General features: G+C 37.0%; 1 protein-coding gene across 5 annotated transcripts in view; it reads left to right on the top strand.

Annotated features, from left to right (window-relative positions):
• Positions 1-23,597, top strand: part of CYP39A1 (cytochrome P450 family 39 subfamily A member 1) — a 103,239-nt gene extending 79,642 nt beyond the window's left edge. For 4 of the 5 annotated variants that reach the window (NM_001278739.2, NM_001278738.2, XM_017010924.2 and 1 more), the window contains 2 exons: positions 19,323-19,410; positions 22,740-23,597. In NM_001278739.2, the coding sequence (NP_001265668.1) occupies positions 19,323-19,410; positions 22,740-22,811 (160 nt within the window). In that variant the 3' untranslated portion in view covers positions 22,812-23,597. Of the gene's footprint in view, positions 1-19,322; positions 19,411-22,739 lie in introns of those variants that run through there. The other variant, XM_047418860.1, reaches the window with a different exon arrangement.

Below are 24,928 nucleotides of genomic sequence, written 5' to 3'. Positions count from 1 at the left end.
CAATGCGAAACCCTAAAGAGTTAGAGATCTGTAAGCTTCCTAAACAAGGAATTAAAAATAATTATTTTAGAGAAGCTCAGCAAGATACAAGAGAACTCAATAATATCAATCATAACAACAATATATGAATAAAACTGGAAGTGAAGCAAAGAGATTGAAAGATCAAAAGAAAGCAAACATAAATCCTGGAGCTGAAAAATACAGTGAATCAACTGAAAAAATGCAATAGGGAACTTCAACAGCAGACTCAACCAAGCAGAAGAAAGAATCTCTGAGATTGAAGATAGGTCTTTTGAAATTATCCAGACTAAGGAGAAAAAAATTGAAAAGAGTAAAGTAAACCTATGGGACTTAAGGGACACTAATAATGAAACCAATGTATGCATCATAAAAGTCTCAGAAGGAGGATTGAGAAAGGGGAAGAAACCTTATTTAAATAAATTATGGCTCAAATTTTCCCGAACCCTGAGAGAGATATGGACATTTACACCTGTGAAACTCAAATGTCTCCAAACATGTTCGACCCAAAGAGAACTTCACCATGACACCTTATAATCAAATTGCCAAAAGTCAAAGACAAAGAAATTTAAAAGCAGCAAGAGAAAAGTGACTTGTCACATACAAGAGAACCTTTATAAAACTATTTTGGACTTTTCAGGAGAAACTTCACAGGCCAGAAAAGAATGGGATGATATATTCAAACTACTGAAAGAAAAAACATTCTGAAAACCAATGATATATCTGGCAAAGCTGTCCTTCAAAAATGAAGGTGAGATAAAGATATTTCCAGACAAACAGAGCTGAAGGAGTTCATCACTACTATACCTGCCTTATAAGAAATGCTAAAGGTACTTCTTCAAGCTTAAATGAAAGGACACAAATTAATAACATAAAAATGCATGAAAGTATAAAACCCACTGGTCATGGTAAATATATAGTCAAAATCAGAATATTATAATCCAATAATGGTGTTATATAAATATGTTTTTAACTCCCGAAAAAAATATTAAACACAAAAGTATTAAAAATAACTATAGCTACAATATTTTGTTAAGAGATAGATAATATAAAAAGCAGTAAATTGTGACATCAAAAACATATAATGCATGTGGGGGTAGGAGAGAAGTAAAATGTAGAGTTTCCATAGGCAAATGAAGTTAAATTGAGTGCACCCTTGGATAGGTATGCAGTACAGTGTAGTACTGGTTTTATTAGGTTAAAATATATTGCTATAAGTATGTTTTCTGTAAGACTCATAGTGACCACAAAGCTAAAAGCTATAGTAGACACACAAGAGATAAAGAGAAATGAATTAAAGTATACCACTACAAAAACGAATCATATCAGAAAGGAAGATAGCAAGAGAGGAACAAAAGAACTAAGGAACTACAAAACAGAAAATTTTTACAAAATGGCAATAGTGAGTTCTTACCTATAATTAATTACTTTGCATGTAAATGGATTGAATTATGTAGTCAAAAGTCACATAATAACTGAATTGGTAAAAAAAAAAAGCAAACAAAAACAATACCCAGCTATATATTGCCTATAAAATGCTCCCTTGAGGACACATATAGGCTGAAAGTGAAGGGGATGGAAAAAGATATTCCATGTAAATGTAAACCAAAAGACAGCAGAGTTAGCTCTGATTAGACAAACTAGACGTTAATTCAGAAACTGTAAAATAAGACAAAGAAGGTCATTATATAATGATAAAGGGATAAATTCATCAAGAGGGTAAAACAATTGTAAATATATGTGTACCCAACATCAGAGCACCTGAATATACAAAGCAAATATTAACAGAACTGAAGGGATAAATAAATATCAATGCAATAATAGTAAGGGACTTAAATACCCCACTTTCAACAATAGAGAGATCATCCAAGCAGAAAATCAATAAGGAAACATGGGACTTGAACTACATTTTAGACCAAATGGACCTAACAGACATATACAGAACATTTCATCCAACAGCAGCAGCATATACATTCTTCTCAAGCACCTATGTCTAGTGCTATGACAGTCTTCAAGATAGGTCATATAGTAGACCATAAAAAATTTAAGAAAGTTGAAGGCATATCAAGTGCCCTTTCTTACCACAGTGTTATGAAACTAGAAATCAATAACAGGAGGAAAACTGGAACATTCACAAACATATGGAAATTAAACAACATACTACTGAATGACAATGGGCCAAAGAAGACATAATACTTTGTTTACATTTTGAGACAAGTAAAAATGGAAACATATCTGATATGGTATGGATGTGTGTCCTCTCAAAATCTCATGTTGAAATGTGATCTTCAGTATTGGAGGTGGCCCTATTGGGAGGTGTTTTGATAGTGAGGGGAAATCCCCCATGAATGGCTTGGGGCCTTTCTATGGCAATGAACTACTGCAATATCTGATTGTTAAAAAGAGTTTGGAACCTCTCCCATTTCTCTCTTGCATTCTCTCTCCCTGTGTTGCATGCTGGCTCCCCTTCACCTTCTTCCATGACTGTAAGCCTCCTGAGGCCCTCACCAGAAGCAGATACTGGCACTATGCTTCATGTACAGCCTGCAGAACCATGAGCCAAATAAGCCTCTTTTCTTTATAAATTCCCTAGTCTCAAGTATTCCTTCATAGCAACACAAATGAACGAACACAACAACATACCAAAGCTTACAGAATGCATCAAACACAGTTCTAAGGGGGAAGTATATAGTGATAAACACCTACATTAAGAATAAAGAAAGACCTCAAATAAACAATGTAAATTTACACCTCAAGGAACTAGATAAAGAAGAACAAATGAAGCACAAAGTTGGCAGACATATGGAAATAAAGCTCAAAGCAGAAATAAATGAAATAGAGACTAGAAAAACAATTTAAAAAGTCAACAAAAAGGTTTTTCAGTTAAAAAATTAAGTCTTGAAAAATGATATATCTTCTGGTAGACTGATGAAAAGAGACAGAAGACAAATAAATCAGAAGTGAAGGAGGACAACAGATAACACATAGGATCATAAGAGATTACTATGTGCATTTAAATAAAACCAGTTAGATAACCTAGAAAAACTAGATTAATTTCCAGAAACATAAAACCTACCAAGACTGAATTATAAAGAAATAGAAAATCTTAACAGACCAACAAGTAAGGAGATTGAATCACAAATTAAAAGTCTCCTATCAAAGAAAAGCCCATGAACTGTTTCCCTTCTGAATTTTACTGAACATTTAAAGAATTAATACAAATTCTTTTCCAACTCTTAGAAAAAATTGAAGAGAGAACACTTCCAAACCCATTTTACAAAGCATTACCCTGACACAAAAGTCAGACAAGGAAACTACAAGAAAAGAAAACTACAGGTCCATATTCCTGATGAACATAAATGCAAAGCTTCTACAAAAAAAAATACTAGCACCTGTATTCAACAGCAAATTAAAAGGATCATACACCATGATCAAGTAGTATTTATCCCTTGGATGCAAGGGTGGTCCAACCTATGCAAATGAAGAATGTCATATACCACATTAACAAAAGGAAAAGCAAAAATTATATGATTATATCAATGGATGCAGAAAGAGCATTTGAAAAAATTTATCATCTTTTCATGATAAAAAACTGTCAACAAATCGAGTATAGAAGGAAAGTACTTCAACATAATAAAGGCCATATATGACAAGCCCACAGCTAACATCATACTCAATGGTTAAAGATTAGAAACTTTTCTCTATGACCAGGAACAAGACAAGGATGCCACTTCTGCTACTTGTATTTGACATAGTACTGGAAGTTGTAGCCAGAGCAATTAGGCAAAAAAAGAAATAAAAGAAATCCAAATTGGAAAGGAAGAAGTAAAATTATGACTCTTCACAGATGATATGATCTTATATGTACAATCCACTGCCCCCAAAACACTGTTAGAACTAATAAATAACTCAACAAAGTAGCAGGATACAGTATGAACACACAAAAAATCCATTGCATTTTTATATACTAACTGAACAATCTGACAAGGAAACTATGAAAGCAATCCCATTTATAATAGCATAAAAATGAATAAAACAATTAGGAATTAGCTAAACCAAGAAGGTGAAAGAGTTATACACTGAAAACTATAAAACATTGCTGATAGAAATTAAGGACATAGATAAATAGATACATATCCCATGTTTCTGGATTGGAAGACTAATAATGTTAAAGATGCCAGTGCTACCCAAAGAAGTCTGCAGATTCAATGTAATCGCAATGATGTTATTTTTTTTTTGGCAGAAATAGAAAAGCCTATTCTGAAATTTATATAAAATTTCAAGGACCCCAAGTAGCCAAAACAATCTTGAAAGAGAAGAACAAAATGGAGGACTCTCATTTTCTGATTGCAAAACTTACTACAAAGCTGCAGTAATTAAAACAGTGTGCTGTTGACATAAAGATAGACATGTAGACCAATACAATAGAATAGAGAGCCCAGAAATAGACCCTGGAATATGTGGTCAAATGATTTTTGACCAAGATACTAAGACCATTCCATGGGAAAGGAGCAGTCTTTTCAATGAATGGCGCTGGGACAACTAAATATTTACATGCAAAAGAATGAAGTTGGACTCTTATAACCTAATACCATACACCAAAATTAACTCAAAATAAAATAAATACTTAAAACTATAAAAATCTTAGAAGAAAAACAGAGCACAAGCTTTATGACATTGGATTTGGCATTAATTTTTGGATATGACACCAAAGGCACAAACAACAAATGAAAAATAGACAAAATTGGACTTTATGAAAATTTAAAAATTTTGTGCATCAAAAGACAGTATCAACAAAACAAAAAGGCAACACACAGAATGGGATAAAATATTTGCAAATTACATATCTGATAAGGGTATTAGTTTCCATTATGCATAGAGAACTTCTAAAACTCAACAACAAAATAACCCAATTCAGAAATGAGCAAAGAACTTAAATAGACATTTCTCCAGAGAACATACACAAATGGACAGTAAGCACATGAAAAGATGCTCAACATCACTAATCATTAGGGAAATGCAAATCAAAACTCCATTGAAATACCACCTTATACCTGTGAAAGTTGATTATACAAAATGAAGTCATTTATGTCATACCCAACTAAAATGAGTCAAGAAGCCATGAGAAAAACACTAAGGTTACATACACCTGTTTTTTTTTTAAAAAAAAATGTCTTATAAGCTCAATCCAGATCTGCATGGACCTAACCATAATTTCAAGACTGCAAGTCCCACCTGGCAACTGCTGAAACTCACCTATCAGAGCTCACTAGCTCTTGTAAGATGCTGCCAGCACCAGTGAACTTTCTCTCAAAACAATTTGTTTAACCTTCCCTTGCCCCAGTAAACCTTAACCATTTCTTTGTTCTGTGAGCATAACAGAGGCCACCCTAGTCTGTGTGTGTGCCCTGAATTGCAGTTCTATTCCTTATATATTCCAAACAAAACCTCTTGCTTAGAGATTCATCTCTATATATTTTTGAGTTGGCATATCCATTAGAATGACTACCGTAAACAAAGAAAATAACAAGTGTTGGTGAGGATGTGGAGAAATTGGAACCTTTGTGCATTATTGGTGGGAATGTAAAATGGAACAGCTGCTATGGAAAACGGTATGGCAGTTCTTCAAGCATTTAAAAAAAATTGCCATATGATCCAGCAATTCCACTTCTGGATATATATCCAAAGGAAACAAAATCAGTATCTCAAAAGAAGTATTTGCCCTCCTAGGCTCATTGCAGCATTAATCACAATAGCCAAAATATTAAAACAACCAAAGTGTTGATTGATAAATGGATAAAAAAGTTATATATATATATATGGAATATTTTTCAGCCTTACAAAAGGAAATCTTGCCATTTGCAACAACTTGAGTCAACCTGGAAGACATTATACTAAGTGAAATCAGCTACACACAGAAAGACAAATCCTACATAAAGTCATCTATATGTGTAATCTAAAAATTTGAACTCATTGAAACAGTGAGTAGAATGGTGGTTACCAGGGGTTGGGGGATTGGAGATATCAGGCAGAGAGTACAAGCTTTCAGTTACAAGATTAATAAGTTCTGGAGACCTAATGTACAGTATGGTCACTATAATTAATAATAATGTATTGTACAATTGACAGTTGCTAAGAGAACAGATCTTAAATTTTCTCACCCCCCCACTTCTCCCAAACACACAAAAGGGTAACCACATGAGGTGACGGATATGTTAATTAGGTTGACTGTGGTAATCATTTCACAATGTGTGTGTATGTGTATATATGGGTACATGTATATATGTGTGCATATATGTATGTGTGTGTATATATATATATATAATCATCTCATTTTGTGCTTTAAATATATATATAATTCTTATTTATTTATATTTTGAGGTCAATCTTATCTCAATGAGCTATAAATAAAATAAGCCATAAGATCATTTCTATTTTGCAAGTACTTAAACTTAATTAAGTCAGTACTATTCCTTTGCCCCTTTTCCTTAATAAGAAGCTGATATAGTTAGGCTTTGTGTCCCCACCCAAATCTCATTGTGAATTGTAATCTGTATAATCCCCATAATCCCCATGTGTCAAGGGAGAGACCAGGTGGATATAATTGAATCACAGGAGTGGTTTCCCCCATGCTGTTCTCATGATAGTGAGTGAGTTCTCACGAGATCTGATGGTTTTTATAAAGGACTATTCCCCCTTTGCTCACACTTCTCCTTCCTGCCGCCTTGTGAAGAAGGTGCCTTCCTTCCCCTTCACCTTCTACCATGATTGTAAGTGTCCTGAGGCTTCCCTAGCCATGCTGAACTATGAGTCAATTGAGCCTCTTTCCTTTATAGATTGTCCAGTCTTGGGCAGTCCTTTATAGCAGTATAAAAATGGACCAATACAGAATGTTTAAAAAGAGATAGCCAAACTATTAGCTCATAGCTCATTTGTATGGAAATTTTATTTCTAGGAGGAGTAACCATAGGATCACCATTAGAACAATCCTGGCTGCAGTCAGGAAAACAATAGCTCCAGAGCATGCACTCCTAGTAACAGCCACTTATAATCTTCCTAATGAAACAGAAAACAGTATGTCAAATCGAGAAGGGCTGAGGTTCTCCAGTTCTTCATTCTTGCTGTCCCATCTGCTCTTGTGACTGAGCATCAGTGAGTTTGCTGTCAGATGTGCATAGAGGCCAATACCATGGCACTGGCTTTTGAGAAAAGAAAACTTTTATTTCAAGTCAACTGGCAAGGATACAGGAGGAAATGCTCAAATCTGTCTCCCCAAGCTGGAGGCTGGGGTAGGTTTCATAAGCATAGGGTAATGATGTGTGATCTGATTGGATCTTAACAATGAGGTGATGTCGGGAAGCATGATCTGACTGGATCCTGCCATGGGTGATGACAGTGCTCTATCTGATTGGATCCTGGATCCTGCAATGTGGTGTATGCTGCTTAATTCAGTCCCTGCTCCTTGGTCCAAGCACTTAATCCCTCTGTGGTTGCACAGTTGGTTATCTGGGCATGCCCTGGTTACATGACCTTCATCCTGGGGGTCCATGGCAAATGAAAAGCAACTCACAACATTGTTACATAAACGTCTACACCAGATTCGTTTGATGTGTTTACACTTTCTCATCTCCTTTTTTTATTTTATTTATTTCCCATTTTCTTCTTTTTTTTATGTTTTCTTCTTTTCCTTCTCATTCAGCTTACCCTTATCCCTTTCTTCTCTTCCCATTTTGTTCTTTTTTTTCTATATTTAATATAAAACATCTACCTTCCCACTCTACCAGATTATGCTTTCACCAGTATTCCCAATCAAAAGTTTGGTACCCCAGACATAATGTTGCATGTATAATGGAGATATTCTTTATAATTTTAATGTTGTGTGCTAAAATTAAAAGGTTTGGCAAACTGCATCTTCTAACATATTTTTTTTTCATCATTTTCCTTGACAAGTTCCTCTAGATCAGTATTCTCAAAATGTGGTCCCCAGACCACCAGTATTAAGATTACCAGGAAACTTGTAATAAATGCAAGTTCCTGGGCCCTGTCCCAGATCTCCCGACTCAGAAACTTTGGGGGTGGGGCCCAGCAATCTGTTTTAACAAGCCCTCCAGATGATTCTGATGCACTAAAATTTGAGAATCACAGGTGCTAGATTATTTTGCCTCCTGCTACCATATTGATTTTATTTTCCTAAAAGATTTCTCAGAGGGATGAGGTTGCCATACTTCCGCTTTAACTTGATAGCTGCGCTTCAATGAATGATGCCTATGACACTATGTCTGTATGCTACCTTCTCTGAATTCCGGGGCAAGATCATTCTATTTTCATAAGCTGCAGCTGGTGGCAACTAGGAATATACTTCAGACCTCTTGCTCCTGGCAACAGTGATAGCTTTCCAGCACATGCTGGCATTACCTACAATGACTTCTAGGAGGAAAAAAGAGAGAGGTGTTCTCTTTAAAAGTGACAGAGGTATTCAGTCTCAAAATCAAGACATCTAAAATTAAAATCATCAATTTTCCCCAATACTAGCATTCCTTCAGTACTCTCTCTCCTTCTATCACTGCTCTCTTAGACACCTGGGTTTTTGGAGTTATCCTTTACTCCTCCTTCCTTCTGGCCTTCTGTGTACATTCTCCACTCCTTTAAAACTAGGTCTCCTCAGCCAGGTCCAGTGGCTCACACCTGTAATCCCAGCATTTTGGGAGGTTGAGATGGGCGGATCACTTGAGGTTAGGAGTTTGCGACCAGCCTGACCAATATGGTGAAACCTCGTCTCTACTAAAAATACAAAAAAATTACTTGGGTGTAATGGTGGGTGCCTATAATCCCAGCTACTTGGGAGGCTGAGGCAGGAGAGAATAGCTTGAACCCCTGAGGCAGAGATTGCAGTGAGCCGAGATCACACCACTGCACTTCAGCCTGGGCAACAGAGGGAGACTCTGTCTTAAAATAAAATAAAATAAAATAAAATAGAATAAAATAGAATAAAATAGAATAAAATAGAATAAAATAGAATAGAATAAAATAGAATAAAATAGAATAAAATAAAAAAAATACAAAATAAAAAACAAACTAGGTCTCCTTCACCTCAGCATCAGATGACTATTATCATTGCCTAACCCTTCTCCCTGACTGTATTATCTCTTATTTCAATCCATCTTACTCACTACATACAGATGAGTTTTCCTTAAATAATAATCTGATTGTCACTCTCTCATTGAGATTCTGGTGCCACTACCTGCTGACCAAACTCATTAGCCTAGAACTCCGGGCCCTCCATAATCTGACACCAGCCTTACCTTTCTAAACATCTGAGAATGTCCTCCCCAGAGCGTCTACTTGCTGTTCCTTACTACAGAGTGTCCACTCCTCCCCTTGCCCATGTTTTCTGCTGGCTCTGGAATGCTCTCACTCAACAAGTCTACTTATTTAAAGGTTCTTTTGCCCTCATGGTGTAGCTCAAGTTTCACCTCCATATAAAGTCAGTGTTAATCATGCCAGGTTGTAGAGTGCTCTCCAGACTCCAAATTTTGTTTCCCTTGTTTCTACCTTCATCTATATATTATTGTGACCTCTTCCATCTCTCCATGTGCATTGCTAGCATTGTGTTGTGTCGGTCTTGGTGTTCTCAATGCCTGTGTAGCATTCCTTAATGAAGTATTTAAATACAAATGCAGAAAATACGCAAGTACCAAGTATTTAAAAAATTTTCAACATGTTTCTATTTTAATGAGCTTTATTAGTAGATGTGTAATGTTGTTCTTGTAAGTGTAAAAGATAAATCTGTCATAAACAATGTGCCTCATTATTTTCACTGTTTTGACATTAGAAGTATTAAGAAAACATTACTTACCTGAACATAGCTTAGCTTGCTTCTGAAGAGCTTCTGTAAAAATACGAATTTACAAGGCCCGTTTTCTTTGACATAAAAAGCTTTCTATGTCCTAGGTATGTATATGTCAGTTTCTGGTATTTTACACATTGAACAAAATTCAGTGACATAGTAAAGGCTTTAAAAAACAGTATTTTTTTTTTTTTTTGCCACTGTAAAGAAAAAAACTTTAGTGGTGAATTGAGGTAATTCTATTAGAATATCCAAATATTTGGATTTGAAGAAAATTCAACTTTTCCTTTAAGATATCAAAATCTTAATGTAATATAAATATCAATACTATCTTAATAGCTAGTTATTAATTTAATAACTAAACTAACACTAAAAAGTAGAAAAGAAAAATATTAAGCCACACAAATTCAAAATGTACATTATGAATTGGCCAAAAGCCTGAGTATTTATCTTTAAGGGAAATGTAGTTTTATCATTTTTAAGAACATCACATAGACTAAAATTAATTAGGGAAATTCTGCCTTATAGATTGTAACAGAAAATTGTTTTAATACATTGGTAAATATTATTTCTAATCTTTTTTTGAAATTTTTTATTATTCATTCTGTTCCTCATTCTACTTTCTCTACAGATTTTTTCTAACATATTTTTCAGCTTCAAACTTTTAAAAATTTATTTATTTATTTGTTTATTTTATTTATTTTTTAATGGAGAGGAGGTTTCACCATGTTGTCCAGACTGGTCTCCAACTCCTGAGCTCAAGTGATCCACCTGCTTCAGCCTCCCAAAGCACTGGGATTATAGGCATGAGCCACCATGCCTGGCCTTTAAAATGTATTTACTTTAAATGACAAGTAAAAATTATGATGTACTATATGATGCTTTGAATATGTACATGTTGTAAAATGGCCAAGTTAAGCTGTTTAAGATAGGCATTATGTCACATACTTTTTTTTTTGAGGTGAGAACACTTAAAATCTACTCTCTTAGTCTGGACACAGTGGCTCATGCCTATAATCCCAGCACTTTGGGAGGCCAAGGTGGGTGGATCACCTGAGGTCAGGAGTTCAAGACCAGCCTGGCCAACATGGTGAAACACCATCTGTACTAAAAATACAAAAGTTAGCCAGTTGTGGTGGCAGGTGCCTGTAATCCCAGCTACTCAGGAGGCTGAGGGAGGAGAATCACTTGAACCCAGGAGGCGGAGGTTGCAGTGAGCCAAGATCGTACCACTGCACTCCAGCTTGGGCAACAGAGTGAGACTGTCTCAAAAAACAAACAAACAAACAAACTACTCTCTTAGCAACTTTCATATTGTTATTAACTGTAGCCACCATGATATACAATCAGTATATTGAACTTATTCCTCCTGTCTAACTGAAATGTGTCCCTTGAATAACATTTCCCCAACTCCCCTAACCCCAGCCTTTGGTAACCACTATTTCTAATTATTTCTAATCAAAATATGCACGGTATTTCTAAAATGTTTAATATTGTGCTCTTAACTTATGAACGTTGATCTTGTTTGCATTTCTCATTTGCTTAGCAAATTATTTTAGGGATCCAGGAAGTATTTATTGAATACCTCCTATATGTTGTAATAAAGCTTCGAGAAACCCCGTTTCCACACCTAGATATAATTGTTCAATCAGCACAATCTATTGAGGGGCACTTTCGTTATTAAAGTCCCAACACTGTCACATGGCACATTCAAACCCCCCTTGAACCGGCTCCTCCTGCACTGTCCAGCTTCATCTCTCATCACCTCACCTTCTGCATGGAGTCAACAACTTGCAGGTCCCTAGATACTATTTTTCTTCTAAGTCTGTCCCTTGGAATGGATTTTCTCTCTGCCAAGTGTACCTTCTTCACTTGCGCAGCTCCCATACTGCACCCTCAAATTGTTGACTGTCTTTTTCGCTTGTTGCAGTGCCTCTAGGGACTTGAGAGGAAGAGTGGCAGGGGCCTTTTATCCCAGGATGCTGAACTCAGAGAAGTTGGAAATCACTGCACTGGTCAATAGCAAGCTTATATTAGAGAAGGGCTTAAAACAATGATAAGGAGATAGGATTTATTTGAATAAAGCAAGGAACCTACAAAACTGTTCTATAATTCACAAATACAAAATTAGCCAGCATTTTTTCTAGAGCTGCCAAGTAAATATTGAATGCTAGGAAGTCACTACTTCCTAATATTCTACCAAACATGAAATGCCAACTTAGTTATTTGAAAAAGTGAGCTCATTTAATTTACTTGTAGGAAGAGAGCTAAGTACTGAAAAGAAGTGGTTACTTTATGTAAGTGGGAGCTTGATGTCTAATTTCACATATTGGTGCTTTTTGCCTTCTTTCCATTTGATAGGCTGGCTCACACCTTCCATGAAACACTTTATTTATGGGGTTGCAGACACACCACCTTCCTTTATTATTCTACCTTTTGGCCTGCTTCTTTCCCATCTCCTTTGCTCATCTTCCTCAATTTCCTGACTTCCAAATTTTGGATTACCCCAGGGCTCCTTCCGTAGATTTTTTTTAATCAAGTTTATTTAACTCACTCTGTAAGTGATCTCATACTGCCCCATGGCTTTAAATAATTGTCTAAATAATGATGACTCTTATATTTATAAATCTTCTATCTCTGACCCTGAATGAATCCTTCCTAATCATGGGGCTCATTACTTAGCTTCCATTCAACATCTTCTTTGGATATCTAAAAGGCACTGGTCTATAGAGAGCTGTACTTAAGTCCAAAACTGAGCTCCAGATTACAATTCCCTCAACCTCCTCTTCCTTCAATCTTCCCCATTTCTGAGGTAAACAACAGCTGTATCCTTGCATTTCCTCAAGTCGAAAACTTTGGAGTCATCCTTGATTCCTTTATATTCTTCACATGTATAATGTAAACCATCAGTCCATCCTACAGAATATATCCAGACTCTAACTATGGCTTACAACTATTTCTACCATCCTGTTCTAAGTCACCACTTTCTATTGTCTGGAAAATTGTAGTGGCTTTCTTATCACTCTTTTCGCTTCCATTCATCTCACCCTATATTTTATTCTCAGTGTAGCAACTGAAGGATCCTTTCAGAGCTTGTCATACTTCTCAAAACTGTCCAGTAGCTTCCCATCTCAATACTAGCCTTCTCATCATTTCTCATTCTTCTAACTCTGGATTTTTGCACCTTTTATGGCTCACCCTCTTATTTTATTCTAGGGTCTGATAAAATGTCACCTCATCAGAGAGACCTTCCTTCTCTAAAATATTTTAGCCCACACCTCCATCAACTTTCTTTCCTGTTCTTATTTATTATTCTAGAATGCATTCTACTAGAATTTAAGCTTTATGAGAACATGAATATTGTTTTTGTTTACTGGGGTGACTTCAGTGCTTAGAAGTATATAAAGCACATAAGGACACAATAAACATCGAATGAATGAATGAATGAATGGGGGTCTTATTTTATTGTTAGAACTCTTAGTGTATAATCTAAGTGTCGCTTTACTGTTCCCATAAAAGTCACTTTTTTTCAAAGGAGAAGAGAGAAAAGACAGGTGTGTTACATTCACAACCTAGTTATCCATTTAAATTTGACCCTTGGTGTTCTGCAGTCTTTGCTGAGCTCCCAGCTCCTCCACGTGCTACCACCCACAGCACTGAAAATGAGATGCTGCTTTTTTCAGATCATCTCCAGCAGAGGGATGAAAGTGAGGCTACTCATGCTTCCTGCCATTATATCACCTCTTTACTTTCCACTGCACTATCACACAAGATAGTGTAAATGTGTCAGTTCTTATGGAATTTTTAGGGTAAGCAAATTACAGCATAGGTAGGGAAATATTAAAATTGTACATAAAATGTTTATTTTCCTATAGTCCTAGAGAAAAGTACTTAAATTGAGCACTTCACAGAAGGTTCCTTTTTCCTAACCTTATATGCCTTTACATGGCAATGTGTTTGTCTCTTTTGCAAAATAGTCACAGAGCAGCTGCCCTCCTTTTAGTCTCATCCCTCCTCTGAGAAGCTGATTTTTCTCCAAGATATATCACCACCCTTCCTCCCTAGGTCATTTCTCAGTCTGAGTATAGAGTAACATGAGGGGCTTTAGCAGGACTGTCCATGGTTGTCCTTGGGACTTGAGTTCCTCAAAACTGTTCATTGCGGGCACAGGCACACTATGTTCCTTAAGACCTGCCCAAATATTAATTCTTTTAAATTTTCTACTGAATGAATGGTTGATTGTCATTTCAACATCAGTCTCTTTCTCTCTTTTACACAATTCCCAAAGACCATCACCTTTTTTTTTTTTTTTTTTTTGAGATGGAGTCTTGCTCTGTCACCAGGTTGGAGCGCAGTGGCGCGATCTCGGCTCACTGCACCCCCTGCTTCCCAGGTTCAAGCAATTCTCCTGCCTCAGCCTCCTGAGTAGCTGGGATTACAGGTGCGTGCCACCACGCCCAGCTAATTTTTCTATTTTTAGTAGAGACGGGGTTTCACCATGTTGGTCAGGCTGGTCTCAATCTCATGACCTAGTAATCCACCCACCTCGGCCTCCCAAAGTGCTGGGATTATAGGCATGAGCCACCGTGCCCGGCCGACAATCACCTTTTTTCCTAATGCATGCTATAATCTAAATCCTTACGGAGAAAATTAAATATTTACCCCCAGATTACTTAGGCTGATCTCTCTCATGGTAAAATTAGTGCATTATTAGAAAGAACAGTGATATAGTTTGCCTCTGTGTCCCCACCCAAATCTCATGTTGAATTATAATCTCCACATTTGGAGGAGGAGGGGCCTGGTAGGAGGTGATTGAATCATGGGGGTGAACTTCCCCCTTGATGTTCGTGATAGTGAATGAGTTCTCACGAGATATGATGGTGTAAAAGTGTGTGGCACTTCCCCCTTTGCTCGCTTTCTCTCTCCGGCCACCATGTGAAGAAGGAGCTTGCTTCCCCTTCACCTTCTGCCATGATTGCAAGTTTCCTGAGGCTTCCCAGTCATGCTTCCTGTTAAGCCTGCAGAACTGTGAGTCAATTAAACCTCTTTTTTTTTCATAAATTCCCAAGTCTTAGATAAGTTCTTTTCACAGTGTGAGAACAGATGAATACAAACAGTATTAGCTCCCTTTCTTTATACCTTGACTGCTTATTATTTTTCTTTCTATTCTTTAAACACATTGTAAGTCCTTTGGCTTGCATTGTTTCCAGTGAAAAGTCTATGTTAACTTTTAATGTTTGTTGTTCTTTATGGTGTCTTTGTTTTCTGGCTACTTAATTTTTTTAATCCCTGGGTTTATTTATTAATTGCAATTTGATTATGATTCACATTAGCATGATTTTCTTTTTCTTTTTTTCTTTTTTTTTTTTTTTTTTTTTGAGATGGAGTCTTGCTGTCTCCCAGGCTGGAATGCAGTGGTGCGATCTCAGCTCATTGCAAACTCTGCCTCCGGAGTTCAAGCAATTCTCTGCCTCAGCCTCCGCAGTAGCTGGGATTACAGGCACCCACCACCACACCTGGCTAATTTTTGTATTTTTAGTAGAGATGGGATTTCACCATCTTGGCCAGGCTGGTCTTGAACTCCTGACTTCATGATCTGCCCTCCTCGGCCTCCCAAAATACTGGGATTACAAGTGTGAGCCACTGTGCCTTGCTTTTTTTTTTTTTTAAAGACAGAGTTCTGCTCTGTTGCCCAGGCTGGAGTGTAGTGGCACAATCTTGGCTCCGTGCAACCTCCTCCTCCCTGGTTCAAGCTATTCTCTTGCCTCAGCCTCCCAAGTAGCTGGGATTACAGGCACACACCACCGTGCCCAGCTAATATTTTTGTATTTTTATTAGAGACGAGGTTTGGCTATGTTGGCCAAGCTGGTCTCAAACTCCTGGCCTCAGGTCATCTACCTGCCTCAGCCTTCCAAAGTGCTGAGATTACAGGCATGAACCACTGCACCCAGTCGGCATGATTTTCTTTATATTTCTTCTGCTTGGGGGTCTTGATCTGTAAATTATAGTTTTCAAAAAAATTTGAAAATGTTTCACTATTACTTCTCAAAATATTTTCCCTGCTTGGTCATCTATATCTCTAATAACATGTATGTTAGACTTCGTTATTTTATAAGTTAATAACCTATTTATTTTTATAGGCTTTTATTCTGTGTACTTCATTTTAGATATTTTTCTTTGTTATGTTAATTAAATTCCATTATCTTTTCTTTGGCAGCATTTTACCATCTGTTAATCCCATCCAGTTTATTTTTCATTTAAGATATTGTATTTTTCATTGCTAGAAGCACAATTATTTTTAAAATATCTTATCTTTCTCTCCTCATCATGCTGTTCTTTTCTACCTTTATGAACCTGTGGAGTATAATAACTATTTTTAATATCTGTCATTTCTGGGCCTATATTTTTTCAATGGGCTTTCTCTTGGATTGAGGTCATTTTTCTGTTTTGTTTTTTCTAAGCCTGTTAACTTTTGAATAGATGGCAAGACGTAAATGTTAAGTGCCATGGATACTGGGTTGTGTTGTATTCTTTTAGTTTAGACCTCATTATGACATGCAGTTAGTTGCTTAGAAAAACAACTTTGCAAAACTTGTTTTTAAGCTTCAGTAAGGTAAATCCAGAGCGCCATTTAATGTAAAATAATCTAATCCCACTACTAAGGCAATACCCATTTAAGAGCTCTAGCTAATGGTCCATGTGCTGTACAATGGTGAGACTTTTTCTTGTGTGAACACAGCCTCCATGTCTTGTGTGAGCTCTTGGCCTTATTCAGCTTCTTGTGCTTTGATTTCCCTTTTGTGGTTCTTTTTCCGTCTCAGTAGTTTTCTCTCACACATGCAGAGATCAGTACTCTGCCAAATACTCAAGTAGACTCCTATCTAGATCCCTGGAATACTCTTGTGCGCTCTCTTTCTGTGAAACTCCTTCTTTTCTGATACTCTTCTCTACAAATTTTAGTCTCTTTAGCTTGCCTGAACTTGGATCTCTGTCTGCTGAATTAATAATACTCTCAGACCTGTGAGTTTTTTCTGTCCTTGCACTGTGGCCTGAAGACTGCCAGAAGCAGGAAACCGAAGCAATCATGGGTTTCGTCTCATTCTTTACTTCCTCTGGAGATCTTTGTCCTACACTGGAGTTTGCCCCGTTTTTGAGTTATTTAAGGCAGGAAGATAACACCAACTTTTGTTACTTTATCATGGCCAGGAATGGAAATTCCAATTTGTGAAAAGTTTGACAAAACCTTAGTTGTGAGACATTCTGAACCTTTATGTGAGTTAGCAAAGTTGTTTTTTCTTAGAAACATTGCTGACTTTGATCCAAATCAGTAAATATTAGCCATGTCCTATTTCATAGACATGGATACCCTTTTAGAATAAATTATCTTTAGCATTTGCAAGTAAGTAGGGTTAAATTTGCATCATAAATATTACTGAATAATTGATGTGATATTCAGATGGATTATAGCCACACCTGGAGTGCTCCAGATTTCATTTGAAATAAAATACAGTCAAGATGTTTCAAGAACAGTAGTGCAGAAAAATCTAATTATTTGATATGAATATGAGATCATTGATATGTATACATTCACTCATTCAATCAACAAACATTGATGATTTAAAGATAAGACATAGTTCCTGCTTTTTGTGAAGGCTGTAGTCTATAAGGGAAGACAGACATGCAAATTCTAGCTGTAATATAGTAAGATATAGTAGGATTGTAGGATAAAGGCATTAGTTAAGGGATATGTAAAGTGCCACAGAAATACAGAGACAGGTGGAAAGGGCAGGAAATTGAATCTTCTCTATGGAAGGCATCACTTTCCATCACTATTCATTTATTCAGTTAACATTATTAGGTACTAATAGTGTGCTGTGCACTGTGCTAAGGCCTCATAATACAAATCCTCCTCTGGGAGAGCCCTGGCTAACAAGCAATCACAATGTGGTGCAGTAGCAGCTGTGGCTAAGATGTGACCAGGGAACCATGTGGTGGAGAGGAAGGGCACTACAGCCTGGAGGACAGTTATCAGGAAATGCTTCCAGAGGAGATTGAGCCTCAGAAAGGGAAAGGCTTGTGGCACAGAGCATCATCATTCAGAGAATGTCAAGTAATATAACGTGGCTAGAGCCACATGGTGTCAAGGGGGAGCTCTGGGGGAGAGGAGACTGCAGAGATAGGTAAGGGGCAGATCTTCAAGGGCTGGCTGTATTCTGCTGTGGTGTTTGAAAGATTGCGTGTGTGTGTGTGTGTGTGTGTGTCTGTGTCTGCGTGTGTGTGTAATGAGGAGATAGTGAAGATATGTGTTTTAGAAAGTTTACTCCAGTGGTAGGGTAAAGGACAGAGTAGAGGGAAGTGAAACTGGAAGCCATGTGGAAGGTAAATTGATTCAGTAATCCAGGAAATAAATGATGAAGAACTACACTGAGGGAGTCATGGAGGGACTGGAGATAAGGGGTTAAGGAGGAGAATTAAGAGCTATTTAGGAGAACCATAAAAAAAGGACTTGGTGCCTAATTGGATATGGAGGGTGATGGAGAGGATTTAGTCTATGACAATGTTCTGTCCCGTTGGACTAATTGTATTCATTAAGGGCTATGCTTCCTAAAAGGTTTCCCTATCCTGCAGAGAGTTCAAAACAACCCAATGGGACACAGGGAAAAATAACAGAATTCTATTTATACTTTTTTCAGTTTTTTAGTTTCTATTTGTATGTGTCTTAGAAAATAGTCTCTAAACAGTGTAGTATATGTGCATAATTTAAAATAAATGAGTATCAATATATTGTAGGGCATGCTGAAATATTTTATTATCAAGAGTGTGTGATCAAAATGCTTGGGCACTCTTAGACAAGGAGTGCAAAAGGAAAAGTGGATTTAGAGGTCCTGGGGAATTTGATGTTCCTGTAGAACATTCAGGCAGTAATTTCCAGTGGGCAACAGGATCTAGACTTAGGTAGGACTGTCCAATAGAGCCTTCTGTGATCATGGAAATATCTTAAATATACACTGTCCAGTATAGTAGCCTGTAACCACATGCAGCTTTTGAGCACTTGAAATATGGCCAGTGCAACCGAGGAACTGAAATTTTCCATTTTGCTTAATCTTAAACTTATTTATTAAATGTATTTAAATTGAAATAGCCACTTGTATCTAATGGCTATGATACTGGAAAGCACAGTCCTAAAGAGAGAGACTTGGGACTGTCATTTATTGAGAGCTCCCACTGGCTCAGCACTTTATATACATTTTAAAGCAATTTAATCATCCCGCTACCCTATGGAGTAGGTGGTATTAAGAAAGAGTTAAGTTCTTACTCTGTCCTTTAAATAGGAAAAGAGTATATTGTAAAGAAGAGCATGTTTACTCTGAAATATGTATGCTTTCTAGATATTCTCTGTTGGCAGATATTTATACATCTTTCACAATCAAGTAACAATTTTATTCGTTTCTTCCAGGTGGTTTGCTCTGTTAGAGGTTCAGATGTGTATTATTTTAATACTTTATAAATATGACTGTAGTCTTCTGGACCCATTACCCAAACAGGTAAGTGTTTTCAGAATTTTGAGTATCATGACTACTTATAAATATGACATAACCACCCCCACTTCCCCCAATTTTGATTACTAGAGATGAGCTGACATTTCCTCACTTAGGCCTGATCTTAACAGGTGCCTTAGATTGAACCAGACTGAGAAGATACTCGGTCTCCTTAATTCAGGATCTAATCTATGTACCCAATTACTACCTGACTGGGACTTAATAGCAGTCTTTCCACCACTTCCAGTGTTAGGAGCTCTTCATTGCACTTACCAATTTGAACACTTTTCTCTGAGTTAAATAAACATGGCGCCCACTTTGCCCTTATTTTTCTAGAAAGGAATGTCTGTGATCCAAATGTGAACTATTGTTTTTAATGCAAGTCATAACCCTTGGTCCATCTGAAAAGGAACAGCATGGAAAAAAACTAACCTAGCAGTAAAAACAGTGAACAGAAATGAAAAGGTCATGGTTTTATTCCTACCTCAAACTATTGAATATTCAGTCATTTAAGTTTTCTGTAGATCTATTCTCATAGATCAGTGGCTCTCGAATTGGTGTGAGCATCAGCATCACTAGTAGGGCTTGTTAGAACAGACTGTATAAAGGTGCTATTTATCGCTAGAATTTCTGATCCAGTAGGAACAGGGGAGGGGCTACAGAATTGCATTTCTTTCCTTTTTTTTTTTTTTTTTTTTTGGTTGGGGGGTTGTTTTTTATTTGTTTTTGAGACAGAGTCTCCAAACACTGTGAGCTGAGTTCAGTGGCACAATCTCAGCTCACTGCAGCCTCCGCCTCCTGGGTTCAAGTGGTTCTCATGCCTCAGCCTCCCTGGTAACTGGGCCTGCAGGCGCACACCACCATGCCTGGCTAATTTTTTGTATTTTTAGTAGAGATGTTGTTTTGCCATGTTGGCCACGCTGGTCTCCCAAAGTGCTGGGATTACAGGCATGAGCCACAGCACCTGGCCCAGAATTTGCATTTCTAACAAGCTCCAGGTGATGCCGCTGCTGCTGCTGCTTGTCTGGGTGCCACACTTTGAGGACCTCTGTTGTAAGAAATAAAAGGAAGTTCAATTTAAATCCAAATGTTTGGAAATCATGTGAAAACTTTGGGTAAAGGGTGCTATTTAAATTGGGGCTGAAGCTCAGAAATTAAGGATTGCAATCTCAGAGCTATTCACATAGCGTTTTGTGCTTTGATTTACTCTTGATATAATAAGGCTAATGTATGGAGAGATAAATAAAACTCTTAGGTGACATTTCAATAGGAATTATGTAAGTGCGTAAGTGACACAGAAAGTATTTTATTACTCACAAATATGCACATTTCAGCATTTCACTTGATTTCTTTTGCACTTCTATTTTGAGGACGAGTAACTTATCGGTGATGAAGAGCTCTCAGAATCTTACAATGAAAGGGAACTCAAAACAACTCTCACAAAGGGTCTCAGCTACCTGCTATATTGTTGACAAAATGAACATCAGGGTCAGGCTTTATGGACATCAAATACTAGTTCCTGATCCACTGAGTTGAATGTCACAATTTTGCTCAAGGTTAAACTCAACATCCAAAGATTTTCTCACCAGCAAGAGGACACCAGAATGCCTTTTCAGGTGAAAAGGATGGCATTGGTTAAAACCATGGAGATTAGTAATTTTGACCAATTCCTTAAGACAGGATTTTTCCTAGCATTTTCTCCTAAGAATTCTATTATCTGTATTTAATTTCTTATACTATTTTATATATGTCCTATTTATGTTTTGACACCACTGAGAACACTTTTTAAAGAAATGTTCTCTCAGGTTATAAAAAGTACAAGTCTGAGTGAATTCCCATGATCTCAAAGAGCATTTTATCTCACAATTCTTATTCTAGAATGAGAAACATCAATTAACTTTATTTAACTATTGAACTTGTTTCAATAAATTATAAAATCAGGTGACCAGAAAGTACAGGAAATGGCCGTCAAATCACCAGGCTCTTCTAGGAGAAGGCAGGGATGGGTTGTCAAAGCATGTCCTGAACACTCTGTTGTCAGGTGCAGGGGAAATCAGTGGACTTGGAAACCAACTCCCCTGAAGGAATTTACTTAACATAGTAGAAAAAATCAAATGCTAGAATCTCCAATTTTAATTTTGCAACAGCCCAATGTTTTATTTTACCTCAAAAGGCCTTAAATAATGTAGTGTTAATTCTCTTCCATTATGAATCAAACAAAAAGGAAATACTACAAAGTTTAAGGATCTGTGGTCAGGCAGCAGTGTCCTGATGCTAGCAGTGAGGGCTGTTCCATTTTGAGCATTAAGGAAAAGTCAACTTTAATTCTCTTGCAAAAGCAAGCACATTTTTGCTAACACAATGGGTTTTTATTTCTTTGTATGGTTGTTTTTTTTTTTTTTTCATTTTACTTTTGGGGTTCATAGAACCTTAGGAAATCTCACAAAATGCATGGATCCCCTTTGTAGAAAAGTGCATACTTCTTCATACACACAAAGTTGTGGATGCAATTTCAGTGGGTTCGTGGAACCCTGCAACTTATTCTTTCAACTCTCCAAAGAATCTCCTTGCTAAAGAGCCCATTTTGTGCCCTATTTCATTCAAACTTGAAAATAGACTGATTCTAAATTGGATCCACCTCATCTTTCCTCACTCCTCATCTTCCCTCAGCCCTCATGGTTGACAGAAAATGTTCCTTTTCTTTTTTAATCCCCTAAACCTCAAATATCTCTTTGTATTATTTACAATACGCTGACCTCCCCTTGACCCTACACAGTTTCATATCTTATTTCTAACTCGGGCGAAAAAAGTCAGAATATTTGGAGCCTACAAAGTATCTTTATGGGGGCGATGGAGTGAGACTCCTCTCAAAAAAAATATATCTTTATGGAAAGTCACGATCATGAATACGCTATAAGTGGCTCACATCACCAACTCCACATCATTCTTTAAACACCTGTAACCTGCAGTATGGAGATCTCACTCAGCGATTCTAAATGAAGTGTCACAGTTTTTGAGCCAGAATTGTAGAAAGAGCCTTATTTGTGGTAACCTCTTTAGCCAGATAAAGCGAAGGGTGGCAGGCCTATAGCCTTCAGGTGTGTACAACTAAAGAGATTGTTATTAGAATAAGGAATTGTATTCTTTTTCTTCTGCCTGAATGGAAGGCTAAAGTTGATGTTGGATATTGTGAAGTTCATTGATGCAAACATTTCCCAACTTGAAAAACCTAAATTTTGTACTTTTTAGAGAAGATTACAATGGAATAAACCTTAGGTCTGAAACTGTGGACTTATGTCTCTTAATTTCTATTTCTTCTGCATTTCTGTTTTTAGAGTTATCTCCATTTGGTGGGTGTCCCCCAGCCGGAAGGGCAATGCCGAATTGAATATAAACAAAGAATATGACATCTGTTGGGCCTCACAAGGACCAGGGCCTTCTGGAGGAGTGGCACTACCCCACCTGGCAGCACCTAGACCTGAGCTCTACAAAAACACACTGCTTCACTTTGTTTTAGGACTTAGTTCAAGAACACATTCAAATGGTGCATGTGTTTGGTATCTTCAACAGTAGACCAAGAATCTAACATCACTCTCAGTAATATAGAGACCGGAATACATGGTTTATAGGAAATGATCAAATGATCCAAAAAAACTCCACATTTTTTAAGAAGTTGGAATTTGATTTCATGCATAACTGTATTAAAACATTAAATAGAAATAATGTCATTTGAATGAAAATCTTATCACATTAAATTCACTGTGAAGGCAGCATACTTAAATTTTTATTTTGAAAAGTCTAAAAGGCTTAGATTTTTAAAATTTAATAATTATTTCTACAAATTTTCTATTTTTCTTGAGGTGATTCTCAACTAGCAATTGGAACTCCTAGGCTCTATTAACATAATTCTTTATTGTAAACGTATCTAATGCTAAAAGTAATAAAATGGTAGTTTTCTGAGACCTGTGAGGACAGGAATGGTGTCTTACATTCATTTCTACACTTTATTATGCTCAGGATTGCACCTTCTTTACAGAGTATATTCAATAAATGTATGTTGATTGATGTATTGATTTATATTTTAATTAACCTGGAAGCATTGTTTTGACTCAAAGTGTTTGCAATTATAGTTTGGCAGATACCATATTTTTGCTAATGCATAGAAACACAAATATAACGGTATGCCAAGACAAGTAACTGTAGTGGAATCTATTAAAGACTTATAACTGTCAAGTATTTACCATGAAATCCAGAAAAGAAATCTTACCATGTTCAGGAAAACATATGACACTAATAACAGAGTGAACACTTATGTCATAATTTATCTTCCAGTATTATATAAAGTGCTGCTTGCCTCTCTTATTTCACAGTGAGGAAGCTTTGTGTGGTGCATGTTGTTCTTCTGTGGCTTATTTGCTTCCCTGGGCTAGAATTATCCCATGAGGTTGATAATGATTGCTTAGTCATCCATTTCCTACTAGCAAGCACATGACTCCCTAGGAGAAAATTAAGTACTTTGAGGTGCATTAACTCTTCCAGACTAATGTAGTGATTTTGAAGCTGAGTTAGTAGCTCACAGCTTAGCTTACAGGCTCAGGGATCTGGAGTCAGAAGGAGCTGAAGAAAGCAGTTCAGAAGTCCACAACATCTCTGAAAGTTGCAGACTATAACTTGGCAGGTTCTACTGAATATGGCAGGTGCATTTTGAGGGAAGGTTTCTTCTCCCAAACAGCTAAGGGTCGCAATGAAGCACTGTATTTGCATACAGTATCCACTTTAGCCAAATTTGCAGTCACTCAGAGCTAGTGTTTAGCTGCTTTTTCTTGCTCAGTAAGGATGAATGTTGGCTGACAAGTTTATGCACTTTAAAAAAGAATGCAGACACAGGAGATCTGTTGACCTTTGGGATAATGAATAGTTAAGAGGAATATACTTGGAAGTCCCATATTTCATTTTGTTTCCCTAGCCTGGGGTTTTATATTATATATAAGTATACATTCAGCATAAATTCTCATGTGTTAACTGGGATTTTACTGAAAGCAGAGCCTGAGATAGGACTTGTGTGCAGATAGCTTATTTGGGATGTTCTTGCAGGTAGCATAAGTGAGGGATCAGGAAGAGAGTAAGTCATTATTAAGGTTCTGTTTTTGAGGTAGGTGTTAGAGCATCAAGAGCTCAATTTCACTGGGATCACCTGAGAATAATATATAATACTTCCTAGAATTGTCCATATTAAAGATAAGAAGTAGAAGCAATTATTGACTGGCTTCTGTTTCCCATTTATTAATGATTACCTCTGGGGATGTTAACCCTGCACTTCCAAGCTACATTTGTTTGTGGACTGAGCAAAAGTATCAGGTGGAAAGGGAAGGAAGTGAAGGCAGAAGAAGGACGATAAGAAGAAGCAGTAGGAGGGGTAGGCATCCTTGAGGCTGAAAAGGAAGTGTAGTGGGAATAAATGAGTGAGAGCTGGGAGGGTAGAAGGTAGAGAAAAAACTGTCTCAAATTAAAAGTTTAGAGGACA

Source organism: Homo sapiens, chromosome 6 (assembly GCF_000001405.40).
Source record: "Homo sapiens chromosome 6, GRCh38.p14 Primary Assembly".
NCBI lineage: Eukaryota > Metazoa > Chordata > Mammalia > Primates > Hominidae > Homo > Homo sapiens.
The sequence above is the reverse complement of the archived record's forward strand: the minus strand, read 5'-3'. Positions and strand labels throughout refer to the sequence as shown.